Raw genomic sequence first — 21,070 nt, 5'->3', positions numbered from 1 at the left:
CTACTGATTAAAAGCTAGTCACCCATATGTTCATTGCAGCACTATTCACAAAAGCAAAGACATTGAATCAACCTAGGTGCCCATCAATGGAGAATTGGAAAAAGAAAATGTGGTACATATATACCATGGAATACTACACATCCATAAAAAGGAACAAAATCATACCCTTTGCAGCTACATAGATGCAGCTGGCAGCCATTTTCCTAGGTGAATTAACGTAGGAATGGAAAACCAAATACTGCATGTTCTCATTTATAAGCAAGAGCTAAACGTTGGGTACACATGGATATAAACATATGAACAATAAAAACTGGGGACTACAGCTGGGCATGGTGGCTCACACCTATAATCCCAGCACTTTGGGAGGCCAAGCTGGGCGGATCACTTGAGGTCAGGAGTTCAAGACCAGCCTGGCCAACATGGCAAAACCCTGTCTCTACTAAAAATACAAAAATTAGCAGGGCGTGGTGGCAAGCACCTGTAATCCCAGCTACTCAGGAGGCTGAGGCATGAGGATCACTTGAATTTGGAAGGTGGAGGTTGCAGTGAGCCAAGATCATGCCACTGCACTCCAGCCTGGGCAACAGAGCAAGACTCTGTCTCAAAAAAAAAAAAAAAAAAAAAAAAAAAAAAAAAAACGGGGACTGCTAGATGAGAGAGAAAGGGAGAGACAAAAGGGCTGACAAACTATGCTCACTATTTGGATGACAGAACCAGTCATACCCCAAACATCAGCAACAGACAACATACCCATGTAACAAACCTGCACATGTATCCCCTACATCTAAAATAAAAGTTGAAATTATAGGCTGTTCGCAGTGGCTCATGCCAGTAACCCCAGCACTTTGGGAGGCTGGGGCAGAAGGATCACTTGAGCCTAGGAAATCAAGACCAGCCTGGGCAACATAGGGAGACTTCCTCTCTACAATAAAATTAAAAATTAGCCAGGCATTGTGATGTGCACCTGTGGTCCCAACTACTTGGAAGGCTGAGGTGGGAGGATTGCTTGAGCCCAGGAGTTCAAGGCTGCAGTGAGCCGTGATTGTGTCACTGTACTCATCCTGGGCCACAGAGCAAGACCCTGTCTCAAAAAAAGAGACAGCTCACTGTCAGCTCACTGCAACCCCCACCTCCTGGATTCAAGCGATTCTCCTGCCTCAGCCTCCCAAGTAGCTGGGACTACAAGAGCGCACCACCATACCCAGCTAATTTTTGCATTTTTTTTTTTTAGTAGAGACAAGGTTTCACTATGTTGGCCAGGCTGGTCTTGAACTCCTGACCTCGTGATCCGCCCGCCTCAGCCTCCCATAGTGCTAGGATTACAGGCGTGAGCCACCGTACCTGGCCGAGAAATTATTTTTTAAGTGAAAATAAAAAAATAAAAGCTAGTCACTAGGTCCAGCCCACAGTCAGGGCAAGGGGTCACAAAAGGACGTGAATATGAGGTGGCAGGGATCATTTGGGGTCATCTTAGAAGCTGTCTACCACAATGTTCCACTATGAATTATTTCAGAGGATTCACACCTGGGGCAAGGAGGTACATCGATAGCATGCAACCAGAAGGAGTCCTGAGACAGTCATTTGCAGAAACCCTGGTGAAGTTTTGGTTTTCCTTGGCCATGCAATCAGGGGCTACTCACTGGCTGATGGACTCAGCTGACACCCAGATTAATTTGAGAACTGTATCCACAGTCATTAACTACGGGGCAGTGCCCAACTGTCCCCAAGCCAGAAGTAAGAGGTATGCATCTTCACGACCTCAATGACAAACTTGATCATATAAAATAGGCAGCATTAATTGACCTGGTTCAGGCTACGCCGGAGGTGGACTACCACCTGGAAACAGAGAGACATTGCAGAAGCTTCCCTGAGGTTCCCCTTGCAGCCTTCAGGGGTGAATTCTTTGACACTGGGTGTTTGAAATGGAGCAATCAAGGCCCCAGCAAAAAACAGATGCACACTCCAATGGGGTAATTGAGGACAGTTTAGGAAAGAGATTATTTACAGAAGTGTGGACAGGATTAAGAGAAAACAAGGATGTGGAGCACGCTGGTATTATCAACAGTGGGGTCTAAAAGGGAAGGAGAGAGAGAGAGAGAATCCTGGAACCCAGAGAGAGCTGTCGCTGTAAGACAGAACTGCCCAACAGGAACTGTGGCCTTTAGGGAGAAACTGAGCTACTGCAAACTCTCAGCCCGGAAGGAAAGAAGCCAAAGGAATAAATACCCTGACCTCCCCTTCCACCCTCCAATCTCCTACTGGGTCCCCACTGGCCAGTCTGGCTCCCTGGGCACACCAGAGTTGAGAAGAACGGACAGCGGATTTGGAGGCGCAAGAAGAAAGTATCCAAAACCTAGACAGAAAGCCAGGCAGCTTCACATGAGCTTTTTAAAAGTGTAGAAGTCATAAAAATTCTCCTGGAAATGAGCAAACACATGGGCTTTCAGAAGATGAACACAAAATAGCTTTTAAAATGAAAGTCTGCTCTGGAAGGGAAAAGGTGGTTCCTGGCAATGTGCAGAGGAGGATTAAAGTCCCCACCCTCAACTCCAGCCTGCTGCGTCTTCCAAGAGAGAATTCCCCAGAGCCTGGACTAGGGAAGCATTGGCGCCACTGGGAAAAGCTGCTACAGCCCTTGTTGGGCGGCTCTTTCTCACAGCTACTGAAGCTGCCTTTGCAAAGATTATGACAGTGAGAGAATCTGGTGTTGCTGACTCCATCTTGTTTCTAGCCTCACAGGCTAACTGTCCTCACTCATTCCTGGGCATAGGCCAAGTTAATCATGAGATGAATTTTTTTATTTTATTTATTTGCTTTTTGAGACAAGGCCTCACTCTGTCGCCCAGGATGGAGTGCAGTGGCATGATCACGGCTCACCACAGCCTCGAACTCCCTGGTCTCAGGGTGGTCCTCCCACCTCAGCCTCCAGAGTAGCTAGGACTGCAGGCGCATGTTAATTTTTTTGTATTTTTTGTGGAGATGGGGCTTCGCCATGTTGCCCAGTCTGGTCTTGAACTCCTGGGCTCAAGCGATCTGCCTGCCTTGGCATCCCAAAGTGCTGAGATTGCAGGTGTGAGCTACTGCACCTGGATAGGTATTTAGTTTATAGTTTAATTTGAAAGCAAGGATGATAATAGTGTTCCACTAAAACTGATTCCCTCATTGTTTCAGGGCTGAAACCACCTTTGTAAAACTAAGGAAAGGCCACAAGATTAGGGAGGGGCCTGAATTCTGCTAAAATGGAGGCATAGTCTTAGGCATAGTTTTAGAACCAGCCATTGTTCTATAAGTCACAAGATTTGTGACTTCCCCAATTGCTCCTATAGATAACATCACTATTATAGAACCTAGGATTGGTCTTTTGAGATGTTTTTCAGACTTTGCATTCTGGCAAATAACTGACCCCACCTGGACTTGTAACTCATGACTCAACTGGTCCTGTGGCCCCTACCCAGAGGTGGACTCAGAGCACCAGGACCATTTCCCACACCTCTATTGCATCCCCAACTAATCAGCAGCATCCATTGCCTAGTCCTCTGCCCACCAAACTATTTTTGAAAAACCACAGGCTGGGTGCGGTGGCTCATACCTGTAATCTCAGCACTTTGGGAGGCCAAGGTGAGGGGATCACCTGAGGTCAGGAGTTCGAGACCAGCCTGACCAACATGGAGAAAACCTGTCTCTACCGAAAATACAAAATTAGCCGGGCATGGTGGCACATGCCTGTAATCCCAGCTACTTGGGAGGCTGAAGCAGGAGAATCACTTGAACCCGGGGGGCGGAGGTTGTGGTGAGCCAAGAGCACACCATTGCACACCAGCCCAGGCAACAAGAGCAAAACTCCACCTCAAAAAGAAAAGAAAAGAAAAACCACAACCTCCAAGTTTTTGGGGAGACTGATTTGAGTGATAACTCCAGTTCTTCCACATGGCCAGCCTCAAGTTAATTAAACTCTTTCTTCACTGCAATACCACAGTCTCAGCAAACTGGTTTTGTCTATGCAGTGGGTAGGAAGGTTGAGTAATCACACTACAGTTCTTTCTGGATTCCAGGAGTCTCTCTCCCCTTCCCTTTTAGACCTGGTTGGTAAGGGCTCTGTGCTGTTGACAGTTCCAGAGTTCCTCACATCCTTTGTTTCATTTAACCCAGTCCATGCTTCTGTAAATACTCTCTTTGCTAAACTCTCCTCAAGTAATTGATTTTAATGTGCATCCATTGCCTGCCAGGACCTGATTAGTCCATTTCAAGCATCCAATATCAAAGAATGCACCCAAAACAAAGACGCTGTTAGGAAACACAGAACTGGGCACTGCAAAGGTCTTTGAGCATGACACAAGGATGTTGCAAGAGCGGCAGGCCCAGAAGGCAAGTGGGGATTGAAGAACCTTAACAGCATATTCACGGGGCTCAGTCCTAGGATTCAGCATCATGACATATCACCTCCAAGCTTCCATGCTTTCATTTGTATAGCTAAGACTTGACAAGACTAGTGAGGGTGTCCGATGATGAGGACAGTCAAGGATGTTAAATTCCTGACTATACATTAACAAGGAGGAAAAAAACTAACAAACCTGCATCAGTGTGAAGACCAGAAAGGCCTGTCCACAGAGCCAGATGACAAGGTACAACAGGATGCTGTTGAAAAAAATCAGACTAGATAAGAGCAGGTTGCTGTGTGAGCAAACTCAGACCATACAAGAGAACTATAGGCCCCTCTCCTCCAGCCCAGAATTCCTGCCCTGAGTGATGCTAAATCAGAAGGAAGAAAAGCAGGAGATGATATTGGCTACCCTCCGGGGACAGGAAGCATCACCTGGTTGGACTACCAGACTGCCATTCACACTTATATACATGGAGTCAGTCGGGTATGACTCAGTCCCCTGAGGCCAAATGTCAGCGAGGAGAGTGGGAGGAGCAAATCTCTCTCCTCCATTAGAGTTGTCTCCGGAACAAACCCAGGTCTCAAGGCAAAGGCCTCACACACTATTTTGCTATTTTGTCACCCACGTAAAGTTTTCAGAAACAGGATCCCTGTAGCTCATCAGGCACTCAGGTGCATCAAAGCTGAATTCAGGGTAAAGATTGATGCTGTGGCCCAGTGAAGCTGAGATGCCCATACTCTCTCTGTTCAGGTTATAGAGAAAATGGGCACTTTGTGATCACTTATACCCATAATAAAAAACAATTTGTGTGCATCTCATGAGCAAGAAAAATAAACAGGAAAAAAGAAAGCAACCCAACTACTTGTAAGTATAAGGAAATCCAACCCATATTTGTTCATATAACTGAAAGGTCCAGGGGCAAACCTGCAGGTATGGTTTGATGCAGGTGCCAACATCTTTTGCCAGGACCCAGTGTTTCTCACACCCTTTCTTTTTTCTTTTTTTCTTTCCTTCTTTCTTTCTTTTTCTTTTTGTCTTTCCTTCTTTCTCTTTTTTTTTTTTAACAGGATCTCACTCTGTCACCCAAGCTGGAGTGCAATGGTGCAATCTCAGCTCACTATAGCCTCAACCTCCCAGGCTCAAGCAATCCTCCCACCTCAGCCTCCTGAGTGGCTAGGACCACAGGCATGCACCACAATGCCCAGCTAATTCTTTTCATTATTTATAGAAACAGGGAGTCTCACTATGTTGCCAGGGCTGGTCTCGAACTCCTGGGCTCATGTAATCCTCCCACCCACCTAAGCCTCCCAAAGTTCTGGGATTACAGGTGTCAGCCACCATGCCTGACCTCACACCATTTCTTAACTCCATTCTTCTCACTCCATTTCTTAATTTCATTCCTTTATAAAGCTTCTCTTCTTACTATTTCAAGATGGCTGCCCAATTCATGTGCAGAGGAAAGAGAAGTTCTTTCTCTTTACTCTGACAGTTGAATAAAAAATCCAAAGCCTGGCTCTCTTTGGTCCATCCCTGAATCAGTCATTATGGCCTGGGGAATGGAGTATGCTAATTGACTTAAGGGAATCAGGGCCCAGCACTGGAGTGAAGGTGGGGCTAATGCCACCTAATCCACTGGAGAGTACCAAAAGTGTGCTTCCCCAAAGGAAATTCACAATACTGTGGGAAAGGATGAATTGATGCTGAGTCACTATGAATGACAAATGCAAAAGATAAACATACCAGGCCCCACTCCTTGCAGGAAGCAAAAGATCCTAGAGGGAGAGGCTGACATGGAACAGGATGTCTGACCAATAAAACTTCTTCCAATGAGGATTCACAGACATAGTCATACCTTCCAGGTTAAGTAAGGCTCAATTCCAGGCAGCTGTCTGTCTCAGCTCCTCATGCACATCCGTCGCTTCTGTCTACCCAGCATTTGTTTCTCCCTTATTCAGTTCTCATTGCTGTGTAACAAATTGACAGAAGTGCATCAACTAAAGCAACACAAATGTATTATCTCACAGCTCTATAGGTCAAAATCCAAGCACGGCTCAACCGGATTCTCTGCTCAGGGTCTCATGGGGCTGAAATCAAGGTGTCAGCTGGAGCTGTAGTCTTATCTAAAGCTCAGGGTCTTCTTCCAGGATGATTGGTTGTTTTCAGACTTCCGCTCCTTCTGATTATCTTGAGATAGGAGGCAGGACTTGACTCTGGAGGTGGGGCTTGGACACCGGACCAAGTTCAGGACTAACTAAAACAGAGCTGGGAGGGAAGCAGCTTTCCCTAAGACACACCCACCAGTGTGCCAGGTCAGTTTACCATTGACACGGCAATACCTGGGAGTTACCACCCCTTTCCATGGCAATGACCTGATGACCTAAAGTTACTACCCCTTCTCTAGAAAGTTCTGCAGAAACCACCCTTGAATCTGCATATAATTAAAAGCAGGTATAAATATGACTGCAAAACTGCCCAGAGATGCCACTCTCTGGTTACAGGGTAGCCCTGCTCTGCAGGAGCCGTCATGGAGCTGTAACACTGCAGGAGCTGTAACACCACCGCTTCAGTAAAGCTGTTTTCTTCTACCTCCAGCTTGCCCTTGAATTCTTTCCTGGGCAAGGCCAAGAACCCTCACAGGCTAAGCCCCAGTTTGGAGTTCATCTACCCTGCATCAATATGACTGAGGTCTTTTTTCTTGCTGGCTATCGACCAGAGACCTCTCTCACCTCCTAAAGACAAACCTAGGTCCTTGCCCTGTGGCCTCTCCATAGGCTTTCTCACACTTTGAGCATCTCTGACTTCAGGAAGGGCCTAGTCCCTTTTAAAGGTGCACCTGATTAGGTCAGGCCCACCCAGATGCTCTCCCTTTTGATTAACTCAAAATCAACTAACTAGTAGCCCAGTCAGGGCAGGGCTATTCCATCACATCCTCTAATTGTGCAGCACTGGAGAGGAGGAGATTGCACAGATTGTGCACACCAGGGAGCAGGGATCTTGGGGGCCATCTCAGAATTCTGCCTACCACATGTTAGTAATTGATCTCTTCTGGAATCAGTCCTTTCCTGCTCAGTCAATGTTATTTGTGGTAGGATTTAGGGTAATCAGACCTAGCCTTGGCCAATTGGTGTAACCATTGTCTGGGCCACAGTGGTCAGATCAGAAATGGGCACCTGCCTCAAGCAAGCCCAATCAGACCTAACCTGGGGACTTTTGCTGAAGTAACTAGGAAAGATCTCTCTCTCTCTCTCTCTCTCTCTCTCTCTCTCTCTCTTTCTTGTTATTGCGGAAGTGTTAGGCTGTAAACTTAGAGCTGATGGTGGACACCATGTGCTTTGATTCAAATGACCCCCCAAAACTCATGTTGAAACTGAATCCCAAAAGTGGGAGCATTGAGAGGTGGGACCTTTAAGAAGCGATTGTATCCCTCTTGAGGGCAGAGCCTTTACTGACCACCTAATGTTTTATTAAAGCTTGTTCTGCACCACCCCTATCCCTACCATCACCATCTGGAGCTCTCGATCCTTTCCTCCAGATTTCTTTGCTCCATAATATTTATCACTATCTGATACAGGGGTGTGTGGATGTGAACATGTATATGTGTGCATGTGTGTGTTTATGGTCCGCCTCTCCCAGTCCCCGGTAGACTGTAAGCTTCATGAAAGCAGGGCTTTGTGTACTGTTGTTTCTGTAGCATGAGGTCTGCCAAAAAAGTAGGTTCCCCATAAATGTTTGTTAAATGAATATATTCTGATTCTATCTCCCCCTCCTCCAGAATGGATCTAAAGCTTCCCAATCTTTGCCTGAGTGAGTGTCCTACTGAGTTCAATTTTGTTTCAGAAAGGACGTGTGTATGTTCACCCATATGCTGCACAAATATGTAATGGACACCAGCCATGACCAGCCTACTGGGGACTGCTTGGCAGTAGCAACATGGCAGCGAACAAGACAGATGAGCCTCCTGCCCACAGAAGCTTACATTCGGGTGGAATACAGGCTGGTGAGTTGTCATGCCGATTCCTCCAACCCAAAACCCTTGCCAGTATGGCAGGTCCTGGAGCTGGACTGGCCACCATTGAGAATCCACCCAACTGCCCATCAGCATCTCAAGTTCCCTGTTGCAAGATGCCAGGGAGCATGAGAGAGGACCGTGGGGGAGAGTGAGCTCTCAATGAACCTGGTGTGGCAGGGAGAAGACGAAGATGGGGCAGATCCCCAGGGGGAAGACAACTTAAGGGCAGATTTGTTGAACTAAGTTACTTCAAAGGGTCTTCCATCTTCCAGCATGAGCAGAGAAGATGACCACACACCTGGGGGAGAGTCAGATGGCTTCTTCAATTGGAACGTTCTTCCCTAAGGATGAGCTAATATAGCACATGACCTGAAAATCCTTCTGGGAGACTCCAGGTAAAAGGGCCTTGACTGCACCAGGGAGAGAAGCTAAGTTGTAGATTTGGGGGAAATGAGTGTTAGAACAGTGAGTGCTCAAGGGAAGTAGTTAAGTGAGCCATGAGATACAAAGTCTGCCATGGCAAAGTAGGTGGAACAACCATGTTATGAGTATAAGTTCTGACCCCAGCTTTCCTGTGATTTCTACGACCCTTGGTCTTGAAGATGGGAAATAAATGGGTGCATGACAGAAGTTAAAGACTATTATCGGGTATCAAGTACCATAGCACTTTTTGGAGGCAGAAGAGCTTGACAAATGGGCATAGTGTACATAGTAAATGATGGTAAGGGTAAAGGATAAAATGTATCATCTTCCTGTCATCAGAATGGGACCAGCACTGTGTAAGGTGGGCATGTTAATGACATGATATATAAGACAGCTTTTGCTACAATAACAAGGAACTCCCTAGGCCTGGCACGGTGGCTCATGCCTATAACCCCAGCACTTTGGGAGGCTAAGGCGGGTGGATTACCTGAGGTCAGGAGTTTGAGACCAGCCTGGCCATCATGGCGAAACCCTGTCTCTACCAAAAAATACAAAAATTAGCCAAGCAAGGTGGCACTGCCTGTAATCCCAGATACTCGGGAGGCTGAGGCACTAGTGGTGCTTGAACCCAGGAGGCAGAGGTTGCAGTGAGCCGAGATCACTCCACTGCACTCCAGCCTGGGTGACAAAGTGAGACTCCATCTCAAAAAATAACAATAACTTAAAAAAAGAGAAATAGCTCTCAAATCCCAATAGATCCCTATAACAAATATTTGTTTCTTGCTTCTGAGTCTTCAGATTGGCTGTGATTACACTGGGTTTGGCTTGGCTGAGCTCAGCTAGGTTCTGCTGAGCTCAGCTTGGCTCCAAGGTTTGGGTTGAGTTCAGGTCTGCTCCACATGTCCCTTCACATGAGAAGCAATTGCCAAGAGGTCAAGTCAAATCATGCAGCACATTTAAAACTTCTGCTGGGGGAAAATGTGTCTGCTCACATTCCAATGACCAAAGCCCAAAGTTAGAAGGGCAAGGAATTAGACTCTACCTATTGAGATGTACTACAAAGTCACATGGCAAAAAGCTTATAATTCTAATAAAGGAACTAAGCAGAATCACTAGGAGCAATCACCTAGTCCGCCACACATGGAGATGTGCCACAGGGACTCAGAGACTGGAAGGAATTCCCCAGGGCCAGAGTTCTCCTGGGAAACTACAGCCTCCACCATTGCCTCCCAGATTTCATCAGCATCTCTGTAGTCTGGCTCATCAGAGGCCACAACGGAGATAAAGGCAAATAAAGACTTCAGCTGCTGGCAAGCTGCAGATATCTCCATGGATCAGCCAAGCCCATGTCTCTTTCTGAAACAATCAGTAATCGGGGAAGCGACCACAGAAAAGCGTAATACAAACTACCTATGGTATTGGAAGAATCCCAGGAATCGTTGGAGGTCTTGAATGAATTTGAAGAGGGTACTCAGTTCAAGACTACTTTAAGACACACACTTTGTAGATGTCCCAACTAGATACTGTGTGGCCTGGGAATTCTGCAATGTTTACTTTTTTTCAATTATATTATGTTATAATATATTTATAAGAAATATATATCATATATAAGATTATATATAGCTTATATATCTATATATAATCTAGATATATTATATATCTAAATATAATCTTTGATATATATCTCATATATTATCTTATACATATGATATATTATCATATACATGAGTTATACGTATCTCATATATATTATTTTCTTATATATATGAAATATATCTCATATATATAAGATATGAGAGCTATATATCTCATATATAGATAGATATAGATATCTATCTACATCTATATTCCCAGGCCACACAGTGTCTAGTTGGGACATCTACAAAATGTGTGTCTTAAACTAGTCTTGAACGAGTACCCTCTTCAAATTCATTCAAGACCTCCAACGATTCCTGGGATTCTTCCAATACCATAGGTAGTTTGTATTACGCTTTTCTGTATATGAGATATATATCTCATACACAGATAGATATAGATCATTCCATCACCCAGGCTGGAGTGCAGTGGCACAATCATAGTTCATTGCAGCCTCAAAATTCTGGGCTCAACCGATCCTCCCACTTCAGCCTCCTGAGTGGCTGGGACTACAGGTGTGTGCCACCAGGCGGGGGCTAATTTTTCTTTTTTTGGAGACAGAGTCTCACTCTGTTGCCCAGACTCAGATGTAGTGGTGCAATCTCAGCTCACTGCAACCTCCACCTCCCAGGTTCAAGCAGTTCTCCTGCTTAGCCTCCCAAGTAGCTGGGACTACAGGCACGTGCAACCACTCCCAGCTAATTTTTTGTATTTTACTAGAGACGAGGTTTCACCATGTTGCCCAGGCTGGTCTTGAACTCCTGAGCTCAGATACCTGCCCGCCTCAGCCTCCTAAAATACTGGGATTACAGGAGTGACCCACCCACTGCCCCCAGCCTTTTTTTTTTTTTTTTTTTTTTTTTTTTTTTTTGGTAGGGACAGGATTTCCCTATGTTGCCCATGCTGGACATGAACTCCTGGCCTCAAGTGATCCTCCTGCCTCAGCCTCCCAAAGTGCTAAGATTATAGGTATGAGCCACCACGCCTGGCCCAATATTTCTAAAGGCCCCTCAAGAGGCAAAAGTGGGCAAAGGACTTTTAAGGACAAAAAATGCCTAGTATTGAATATTAAGTTGTTTACTGTGTTGTAACTCTCTTCCATGACTTCAGTAAAGCAGAGTAAGCACACACATGCCCCAAGACACAGTAACCTCTGTTTGGTAGTACAGCCCATCACAAGCAGCTGTGGCTGAACCCCTGGGTACCAGGACTAGAGAGGATAACTTCATTGTAAGTTCCACTGGATGTTAGGCTGAAGTTGCAGCCCCCATCAAGCCAGGCTTGGTGTCTGGAGCGGGCCTGAAGGTAGAGATTCTGCAAAAGGATCTAACTGGGGTGATATTCAAAAAATTTAGAAGCCAGAATGGCACAGGTCCTGACTGATAAGAACCAGAGCCAACATGCTGTGATCTGCATACAAGTGCCAGTGATCCCTGCCTCCAGCTGAGGAGGGCTGTGAAGGATGGAGGCTAGAAATCCATCAGGAGAGCTGACATTGAAAGGTGAATGGGAGCAGCACCTGCCAGCGTGACCTGCTGCTTTCCTGCATGCAAAGGACTGTGCATTTCAACCTGAGACCCTGGGGTTCCTGCAGGGCATCAGCTAGATTTGTCTTCCTGCCTGGGGCGATCACCAATTATATGTGCTGTGAGGCAAACTGTCCTCCCACCAGAGGAGGAGGTGAAGGGATTTACAGAATCTCTCTCTGATCTGACTTATTAGAGAAGTTAAAGGACACCTGTCCAGGAGGCAGCACAGTGCAGAGATAAAGAAGTCAGGATTCAAATTTGTCCTATCTGGGAAGCTTAGACAAGAGCTCCTTAACCTCTCTCACACTCAGTCCCCTCATCTGGAAAATGGGAATCCTAACAGTGCCTACCTGGCAGGAGCATGGCCACAATGAAATGAGCTAATGACACAGTGAAAGCCCTTAGACAGCCTGACCCAGAGTCAGCCCTCTGTAATGGGAGTCATTATTCAAGATGGGAGGAAAGAAACAGGAATTAGATCAGAAACAAATGACCAGAAAGAGAGATGAAATACAAAAGCTACATGAAGTCGGCAGTGTGAAGCCTGACTCGCAGGAGAGTGGATTTTGTTACTGTTTGCTTTTTCTTGTCCAGGATAATCCAAGACTGGCAGAAAGTGAGAATACCGATTGAGATCCAAGGACATCCTCATGGGAGTCTGTGCAGACACGTTTTCATCAAGAACCCCTCTCCAAGCAGCTGGTCCAGCCCAGCTAAACTGGGGGCTGCTGTTTGTAAGAAAATTAATGCTCTGGGCCAAGCACGGTGGCTCATGCCTGTAATCTCAGCACTTTAGGAGGCCAAGGCAGGCGGATCACTTGAGGCCAGGAGTTCAAGACCAGCCTGGCCAACGTGGTGAAATCCCGTCTCCACCAAAAATGCAAAACTTAGCTGGGCATGGTGGCGCATGCCTGTAATCCCAGCTACTCAGGAGGCTGAGGCAGGAGAATCACTTGAACCCGGGAGGTGGATGTTGCAGCGAACCAAGATCATGCCACTGCACTCCAGCCTGGGTGACAGAGTGAGGCTCCATCTCAAAAACAAAAACAAAAAAAATTAATGTTCTGTACCTGAGGAGCACCCATTTGCTGCTACTTCCCTGCCAGGATGAAGGAAAACCAAGTCAGACATTAAATAACACGTGCAGGATCACAGGATCACACCTTTCACACTGCAGTCTTAGTTTTCTATAAAACCACGTGACCTCTGAAAATACACTCCAGCCTCTGCAACACCTACTCATGACGCTTTGTAAAATCCACCGCCTTTTAGGGACACCAAGATTTTCGGAAACATGCAGTTTTCTTACCTCCAGATGAGATGTCTACTGTGGATAGGTGACTAGGAGGAGAACCCAAGGTGTGCTGATGGCAGAACAGAAGCACCTAGGATGCCACCAGGGAAACGCCCTGACAAGCAGCTGTGATGCTGTCTTCGAGAAGGTGTTTGCAAACACCACTGCTGCCCCCCTTCCCTGAGCCCTGACTTCCTAAACCTAAGGCTAAAAGCATCCTGGCAATTCCCGGAAGTAACTTCATTCTAGCAGGATCGAGCCAGTGGGTGGAGTTTTCTCAGCCCGCCAGGATCACATCAGTGACTGACTTACCCAATGTACTTTTATTTTTTATTTCAACCAATTCCCCAAAGCCCAGAGCAACTTAAAACCAGAAGAGCCACCACCATCTCCACCAAAAACAGGGAATATTTTGAGAGTTTAATGATAACTTCACAGCCATCCATTCAGCTGAGTCCCAAGGAAATGGAAGACACCTGAAAAATGTATTTTTAAATTGATTTAACGTTGAGCCATGTTAAATGTTTTAACTTCCAACCAATGCAATGCCCACCAAAACATCAATTAGTCCCAGCAATCAGGCAAGAATATTGGCTTCTGCTCAGGGATTCATTTATTTCAGCTCTGCTAAATATCGTAGAGGAGAAATCCAATGTAGCCTGTAGCTTCAAGAAAGTGAAATTAAGCCCAAGTAGAAACTAGATGAGGCCCTGGCTAAAATGGTGCCTTTTCTTGCACTGCCTCTCTCTGGTATCTCTCTAAAGTGAGGGCAGCAACTTGATTGTAAGGGTCTCGTGCTGTTAACAGAAAACACCCTTCCTTCCCCACAGGTTCTCTGTCTCCAAGCTGGAAAACAAAAGAGGCTGCAATGGGACAGAGAAGGGCTTCCTGCTGAGGAGATGAGTGGGCTTAAGAATTTGCAAGATCAAAAATCAAAACAATTAAACCCATGGAGATAGAGTAGAAGGAGAGTGAACAGAGGCTGGGAAGGGTAATGGGAGAGTTGGTGGGGAGGAGGCAGATGGTTAACGGGTACAAAAAAAACAGAAAGATGAGTAAGACCTACTTTTCCATAGCACAACAGGATGACTATAGTCAACAGTAATTTTTTTTTTTTTTGAGATAACGTCACTCTGTCACCCAGGCTAGAGAGCAGTGGCATGGTCTCTGCCCACTGCAACTTCTGGCTCCTCAGTTCAAGCGATTCTCCTGCCTCAGCCTCCCGAGTAGCTGGAATTACAGGCGCACACCACCATGTCCAGCTAATTTTTGTATTTTTATAGAGATGGGGTTTCACCATGTTGGCCAGGCTGGTCTTGAACTCCTGACCTCAGGTGATCCACCTGCTTCGGCCTCCCACAGTGCTGGGATTACAGGCATGAGCCACTGCACCCGACCCTATAGTCAATAATAATTTAATCGCACATTTTAAAATAACTAAAAGAGTACAATTGGATTGTTTGTAACACAAAGGATAAAGGTTTGAGGTAATGGATACCCCATTTTACATGATGTGATTATTACACATCGCATGCCTGTATCAAAACATCTCATGTACCCCATAAATATATATACCTACTATGTACTAATGAAAATTAAAATTTAAAAAAATTAAAAATAATTTGCAAGATCATTTTTAATAATTATTTTTCATTTGGGGTGCATTTTCACCATCAAGGCCCCAGGGTTTCCCTGCCCTAGATGAGGGTCTGGATCCAGGGAAGGGTGTCCCACCATCTGGAGCATCCTGTCTCTACACATGTTGGCCAGCTGCTTGGGGCAACACAGGACGATGCGCTCAGGCCACTCACCACAGGAGCTTGGCCATTAGAACCAGCAGGGGACAACCAAGCCAAAGACCCCACGACTGGAGAGCTCCTAAAAGCAAATACAAAATAAGAGTACACATGAAGTTCTGGCAGCAAGCAGAAGGTAGACACATGATGTCCAACTCCCCGAGTCTCTCTCTGGGGCCACTTGATGCAGAGCCTTGATTTGTTCGTCTCTTAAATGGGAACAATGATCCCCAAAGAGGAGGAGGGGTGGGGGAGTGAGAATTAAATGAGATTGTGTCAGTCAGCATGTACTAGGGAGCTTGTTAGAAACACCAATTCCAGGATCCCCTGGAGATTCTGATTTAGCAAGTCTGCCAGGAGACCCAGGAATTTGTATTTTAAGCATCTCTCCCAGGTGATTCTGATAATTAAGCAACTTTAGGAAAGAAAAGATTAGGGCTCTGGTCCATAGGAAGGGTTCATCCAATGGCAGCCCTCACTTAGGCCCTTGGGGTGAATGAAGGAGGGGCATCCAGGATCTTGCCCAGCCAGGGACATGCAGGAAACATCTTTTTAAGGGGCCCTCATCACTTTCTGACACTGCTGTTTCAAGGGAAAACTGGTCACACCTTTCTGCAGGGGATTTGACAACATCCATTAAAAAAAAAAATTTAAGACAGAGTCTCGCCCTGTCACCCAGGATGGAGTGCAATGGCGCCATCTCGGCTCACTGTAGCCTCTGTCTCCCAGGTTCAAGCGATTCCTCTGCCTCAGCTTCCCTAGTAACTGGGACTAAGGCATGTGCCACCACACCTGGCTAATTTTTGCATTTTTAGTAGAGACGGGGTTTCACCATATTGGCCAGGCTCATCTCAAATTTCTAACCCCAAGTGATCCACCTGCCTCAGCCTCCCAAAGTGCTGGGATTACAGGCATAAGCTGCCACATCCGACCAACATCCATCAAAATTATAAATGCAGACCCTGTGATCTAGCAATCTCACTTTGAAGAGTTTATCCTACAGACATACTTGCACAGATGCAAATTATATCAGGTCAGGAGCTGCAGCATTGTTCATAACAGCAAAAAAAAAAAAAAAATAGAAACAACTGCAAGGTCCATCTACAGACCTCTGGTTGAATACAGTTACGGCATAGCCATAAAACCAACAATGGCACAGCTCCTGTGCACAGATACAGAACTCCCTCCAAAGTATATTGTTAGGTGAAAAATACAAGGTGCAGAATAAGGTGTATAATAAGCTTTTGTGAAAAGTGCAGAGATCATCTATATTTGATTTGCTGTGTATGCATAGAATATCTCTGGACAAATACACAAGAAGCTGCTAACATTGGTTGCCTCTGGGGAGGGAACAGGGTGGCTGGGGGACAGGGGCTGGAGGAAAAGATTTCACCACATGCCTTGCAGACTTTATATATTCGGAACCCTGTGCATTATCTATTGCACATATTATCTATTCATGCAAAACGCTATAACATTTACAAATAACTTTCAAATATATGCATATCATATTTCAATGGAAAGTTTTTTTTGTTGCTGTTTGTTTGTTTGTGATGGAGTTTTGCTCTTTTGCCCAGGCTGGAGTGAACTGGCATGATCTCAGCTCACTGCAACCTCTGCCCCCAGTGTTCAAGCAACTCTCCTGCCTTAGCCTCCCGAATAGCTGGGATTACAGGTGCCCCCCACCACACCCGGCTAATTTTTGTATTTTTAGTAGAGACGGGGTTTTGCCATGTTGGCCAGGCTGGTCTCAAAACTCCTGACCTCAGGTGATCCGCCCACCTCGGCCTCCCAAAGTGCTAGGATTACAGGCATGAGCCAATGTGCCCAGCCTCAATGAAAAGTGTTTTAAAGTAATAATATAATACATCAAAAGGCATGATTTATGTTTTCAAGTGCCACCTCTGGCCACTTGTGGCTGTAGAAATGGGGAATACTCCAATTCACCATCCCTATGTGAAGGCAGGACAGGGAGACATTCAAGTCAGGAAAAGGTGGAGTGGAGGTTTTAGTCAAGCACCAAGTCCTCTGACTTCTCTGGGCACTTGCCCATGCCGGTACCTACTCCTGAGACACTGTCTACCTCGCTAAGCCCATCTTCTTCTCACCTTGTGTCTCACCTGAGACATCACTGACTTTAGGAGGTTTCCTGACCCATGTGTGTTCCCCATCTCAGCACCCAGCACCTGCCTCATGTTCACCAGGGTACATGTCTTCCCTCCCCGCCAGGCTGCACTGAGAGCTCAATGAGGGCAGGGAACATCTCTGTTCCCCATCTTGTTAGAAGCTATCTCCCCAGAGCATGGTCCAAATGTGGTGTTAAGAACAGAAGTTATCACAAAGAAGTGAGAAAGTGAAGGGGAAATGGGGAGAGCTGTAAGAAAGGCATGGGGGAGAAAAAGGAAAGAAGGCCATGTTCCCAGGATCCAATGCCACTCCCTGGGGAGGCTTCTCTATCTTAGCTCAGCCCTCAGTCACTATCACCCTCCCTGGTCTTGTCAGATTTGAAATATCTTCTTCATTTACAAGAGGGCCTTATCTATCTTGGTCACCTCTGTATTCCCAGCCCCTACTGCGGACTTGGAACATAGTAGGTGCCCAGTAAACATGGGTTGAATTAATTAATATTGGACAGGCCAGGCTTGGTGGCTCGCGCCTGTAATCCCAACACTTTGGGAGGCTGAGGTGGGCAGATGACCTGAGGTCAGGAGTTCAAGACCAGCTTGGCCAACATGGTGAAGCCCCATCTCTACTAAAAATACAAAAATTAACCAGGTGTGGTGGCACACACCTGTGATCCTAGCTACTGGGAGGCTGAGGTGGGAGGATCGCTTGAGCCTGGGAGGTGGAGGTTGCAGTGAGCCGAGATCGCGGCACTGCACTCCAGCCTGGGCGACAGGGCGAGACTCTGAGTCAAAATAATAATAATAATAATAGTTCATTATTATTGGATAGTGAGGAGGGAGTTTGCAAAGGAGCGGCTAAAATGAAATTAGTCCTGAGTTTCTGATGTTATGCGTTCTGGGTAGGGGCGGGAGAACTGGAAGATGTTTAATGCCCCCCACCCAAGGGCAGCCATAGTTGAGAATCACTAATTCTGAAGCTTGGTAGGGAAGCTTGATAGGGACTTTGGGTTTTTCACTGAGGGCAGAATCCCCAGTGACTGTCAGAGACCTCGCTCTGAATCTTAAGAACCTCCCCACCCCAGGCCTGACAGGGAGGACAAGGAAGGAGAGTGGGGCTGGGACGCGGGGCAGAGGGCGGCTCTGCTCACCTGCGGGAGAACGCGAGGATGAGGTTCTAGTGGGACCGGCGCTAGCGGGCGCGTCCTGCCAGGAGTGAGTCTTGGCGCCATCTAGCGCCTGCTGGAGGCTCTGCAGCTGCAGTGGACTGAGCCGCCGGCGCTGGGCGTGGGTCACCGCCGCGGCGTTCTCCGGACCCAGGGAGGCGATCTGCTCCGCGGACAGCTCCTGCAGGAGGCAAAGGGGCAGCACCCTCACACGGGGCCCCTCCCCGGATTTCCCACATCTCGGGCGTCCGCGCAGGATGCACACAACTTTGCCATCCCCTTGTGTGTATCATGTGTGGTCCTCTTTAAGATATTTCCTTAAAATTAGATCACTCTTGCACTACCAAAGTAAATGCATTTAAAAATAGAAAATTTAAAATGGAAGTTTCCAAAAATGGAAAGCCGGCAGACTTGCCATAAGCAAGCATTAAATAGGAGCCGCAAAATAAAAATAAAACAATATTGTTGAATCCTAGCTAGATTTGTCCGCCAACAATATCTGAACCCCTGGCCTCTTGGAAAAAAAAGAGAGAGAGAGAGAATATAAAATGTACTATACAGGGTTAAATTGACACTTCCTTCTTGAGGTATTTAGAAGTACTAATGGAGAGTTGAAAAGGGAAGCATGATTTCCTCCCTATGTGGCAATGTTGTTTAATGCAATGCAGGACAGCTTCCCAGTGCTTCAAGTCTTCCACCTCCTGAAACACTGATGTGGAGGGGGAAACACAGGCCTTAAAGATCAGAGGCCTGAATTCGAGCCCCTGCTCTGCCACATACTTGCTGTGTCACCTTGAACAAATTACACAGCCTCCGTGGGCTTTGGGGATAAATGTGAGACGGCATAGAGAACTCATCTCCTCTGCTGACTGATTCTGATCCTTTGGTTTGACTGCCTGAGCACCATGTGATGAGCTCTGTGAGGGCTCCATGGAGGGAAAATGCAGTCATCTATTGGTGATATCTGCTATGGACAACATGAGTTGGAAATTCTGCCAGCCAGACTATGTCTTCAAGGACTGTGAACAAGGTGTCTTCTGAAGTCACTTCCAGATCAAAGGACTTGGTGACTCGTTCCAATGGGACTGGAATACGAAGGGGACTCTATATCATCATGTTTATTTTCTAAAGGCCCTGAAGAATCTGGGAAAGATGCTTATGCTCCCTCATCCCTTCCTCTCCTGTCAGTCACCCTCTCCTCCTCTTTTGTCCAGGTAGATACTTCCCTGGAATCATATCCCTCTGTGTAAAGCCCTTCCAGGAACCCCACTCCAGAACACAGTTCAGGCTCCTGGAAAAAACTCTGCCCACCTCTCCAGCCTCACACATGGCATTCTTCACTCCAGGAGAGTGGGTGCCAATATTTACAGTTCCCTAGAGGCAGCATCTTCCTGTGCACCTCTTTCTGCCTGGAACACTGTTTCTTCTTCATCGCCAGCTGTTCTCCAAGATTCAGCATCTGGTCGGTCAAGCGCCATGGCTCATGCCTACAATCCCAGCACTTTAGGAGGCTGAGGCAGAATGATTAACGGAGCTCAGGAGTTCGAGACCAGCCTGGGCAACACAGTGAGACCCCCCTTCTCTACAAAAAGTTTTTTTAATTAGCCAAGTGTGTAGTCCTAGTTACTTAGGCTGACGTGAGAGGATTGCTTGAGCCCAGGGGATCAAGGGTGCAGTGAGCCATCATTGTGCCACTGCACTCCCTTGGGCAACAGAGTGAGACTTTGTCTCAAAAAAATTAAAATTCAGCATCACCTCCTCTCCTCTCACTACACACACACACACACACACACACACACACACACACACACACACGGTGGGGTGGTCAGAGAGGTACTTTTTTGGCTTCCATATACCATTAACACAGAGTCTGTATTCTAAAAATTATCTCTTTTATCAATGTTGCTGACTTGCGACCCACAGGCCAGATTGAATCTCTAGGCCTACGGCACTGTGTTTTCAAAAATAAATTCAGATTGGCTGCCAACATTTAATTATCAAGCAATTCCATATGAAAATGAAGATTTCTGACTTCTTCTCGAAAAAAGTGAAAAGGAAAATTCAGCAATCTTGGGCCCACATGGCCACACTGCATGAATGTGCTAGGAATGAGAAGCAGCCTCCACATTTAGACAAGGCTCTCCAGTTCACTTCGGTCTCTACCCAGCCTACTGCACCTTATGTTACCTTTTAGGCCCCTGAAGGCACTATGTGATAACCCCTTCACCTGTGCATCCTTAGGTGCACCTACCCTGGAGCCTGCCACAATGTAGGTGATCAGTAGGGATTTCTGGAATAGATAAATACCTGTACAAGGAAGCAGCACAACAGCACTCCAAACAAGACCAAGAGAAAGTGCTTAGCAAAATGCCAGCATCCAAGACCAAGCTGCTTGTCCCATGCAGAGTGCCCCAGAGGGGAAGCAGGTATTTGCTCAATGGCTTTGAGGACTGCTATTTATTGCCCTCAAACAGCTATTATGCCTGCAATGTGCTCGGAACTGTCCAGGATGCTGAAGTGATTGAAGGTTGGCTTTCTTTTTTTTTTTTTGAGACAGAGTCTCGCTCTGTCGCCCAGGCTAGAGTGTAGTGGAGCGATCTTGGCTCACTGCAAGCTCCGCCCCCCGGGTTCACACCATTCTCCTGCCTCAGCCTTCTGAGTAGCTGGGACTACAGGCACATGTGACCACCCCAGCTAATTTTTTTGTATTTTT

General features: G+C 46.5%; 1 protein-coding gene and 1 long non-coding RNA gene across 6 annotated transcripts in view; one reads left to right on the top strand and one right to left on the bottom strand.

The window, feature by feature from the left end:
• The window catches only part of LOC105371126 (uncharacterized), a 31,769-nt gene extending 17,471 nt beyond the window's left edge, over positions 1-14,298 (top strand). Inside the window, exons 2-4 of one of the 2 annotated variants that reach the window (XR_002957908.2) lie at positions 8,220-8,379; positions 8,664-8,786; positions 14,103-14,298. This is a non-coding gene — a long non-coding RNA (uncharacterized LOC105371126). Of the gene's footprint in view, positions 1-8,219; positions 8,380-8,663; positions 8,787-12,572; positions 12,636-14,102 lie in introns of those variants that run through there. The other variant, XR_002957907.2, reaches the window with a different exon arrangement.
• Positions 14,891-21,070, bottom strand: part of OTOA (otoancorin) — a 96,762-nt gene continuing 90,582 nt past the window's right edge. For all 4 annotated transcript variants that reach the window (NM_144672.4, NM_001161683.2, NM_170664.3 and 1 more), the window contains 2 exons: positions 18,343-18,538; positions 14,891-15,150 (listed from right to left, as the gene is read on the bottom strand). In NM_144672.4, the coding sequence (NP_653273.3) occupies positions 15,080-15,150; positions 18,343-18,538 (267 nt within the window). In that variant the 3' untranslated portion in view covers positions 14,891-15,079. The remainder of the gene's footprint in view (positions 15,151-18,342; positions 18,539-21,070) is intronic.

This window comes from Homo sapiens, chromosome 16, assembly GCF_000001405.40.
Source record: "Homo sapiens chromosome 16, GRCh38.p14 Primary Assembly".
Classification (NCBI taxonomy): Eukaryota; Metazoa; Chordata; class Mammalia; order Primates; family Hominidae; genus Homo; species Homo sapiens.
This window is presented reverse-complemented; position numbering and strand designations above follow the sequence as displayed.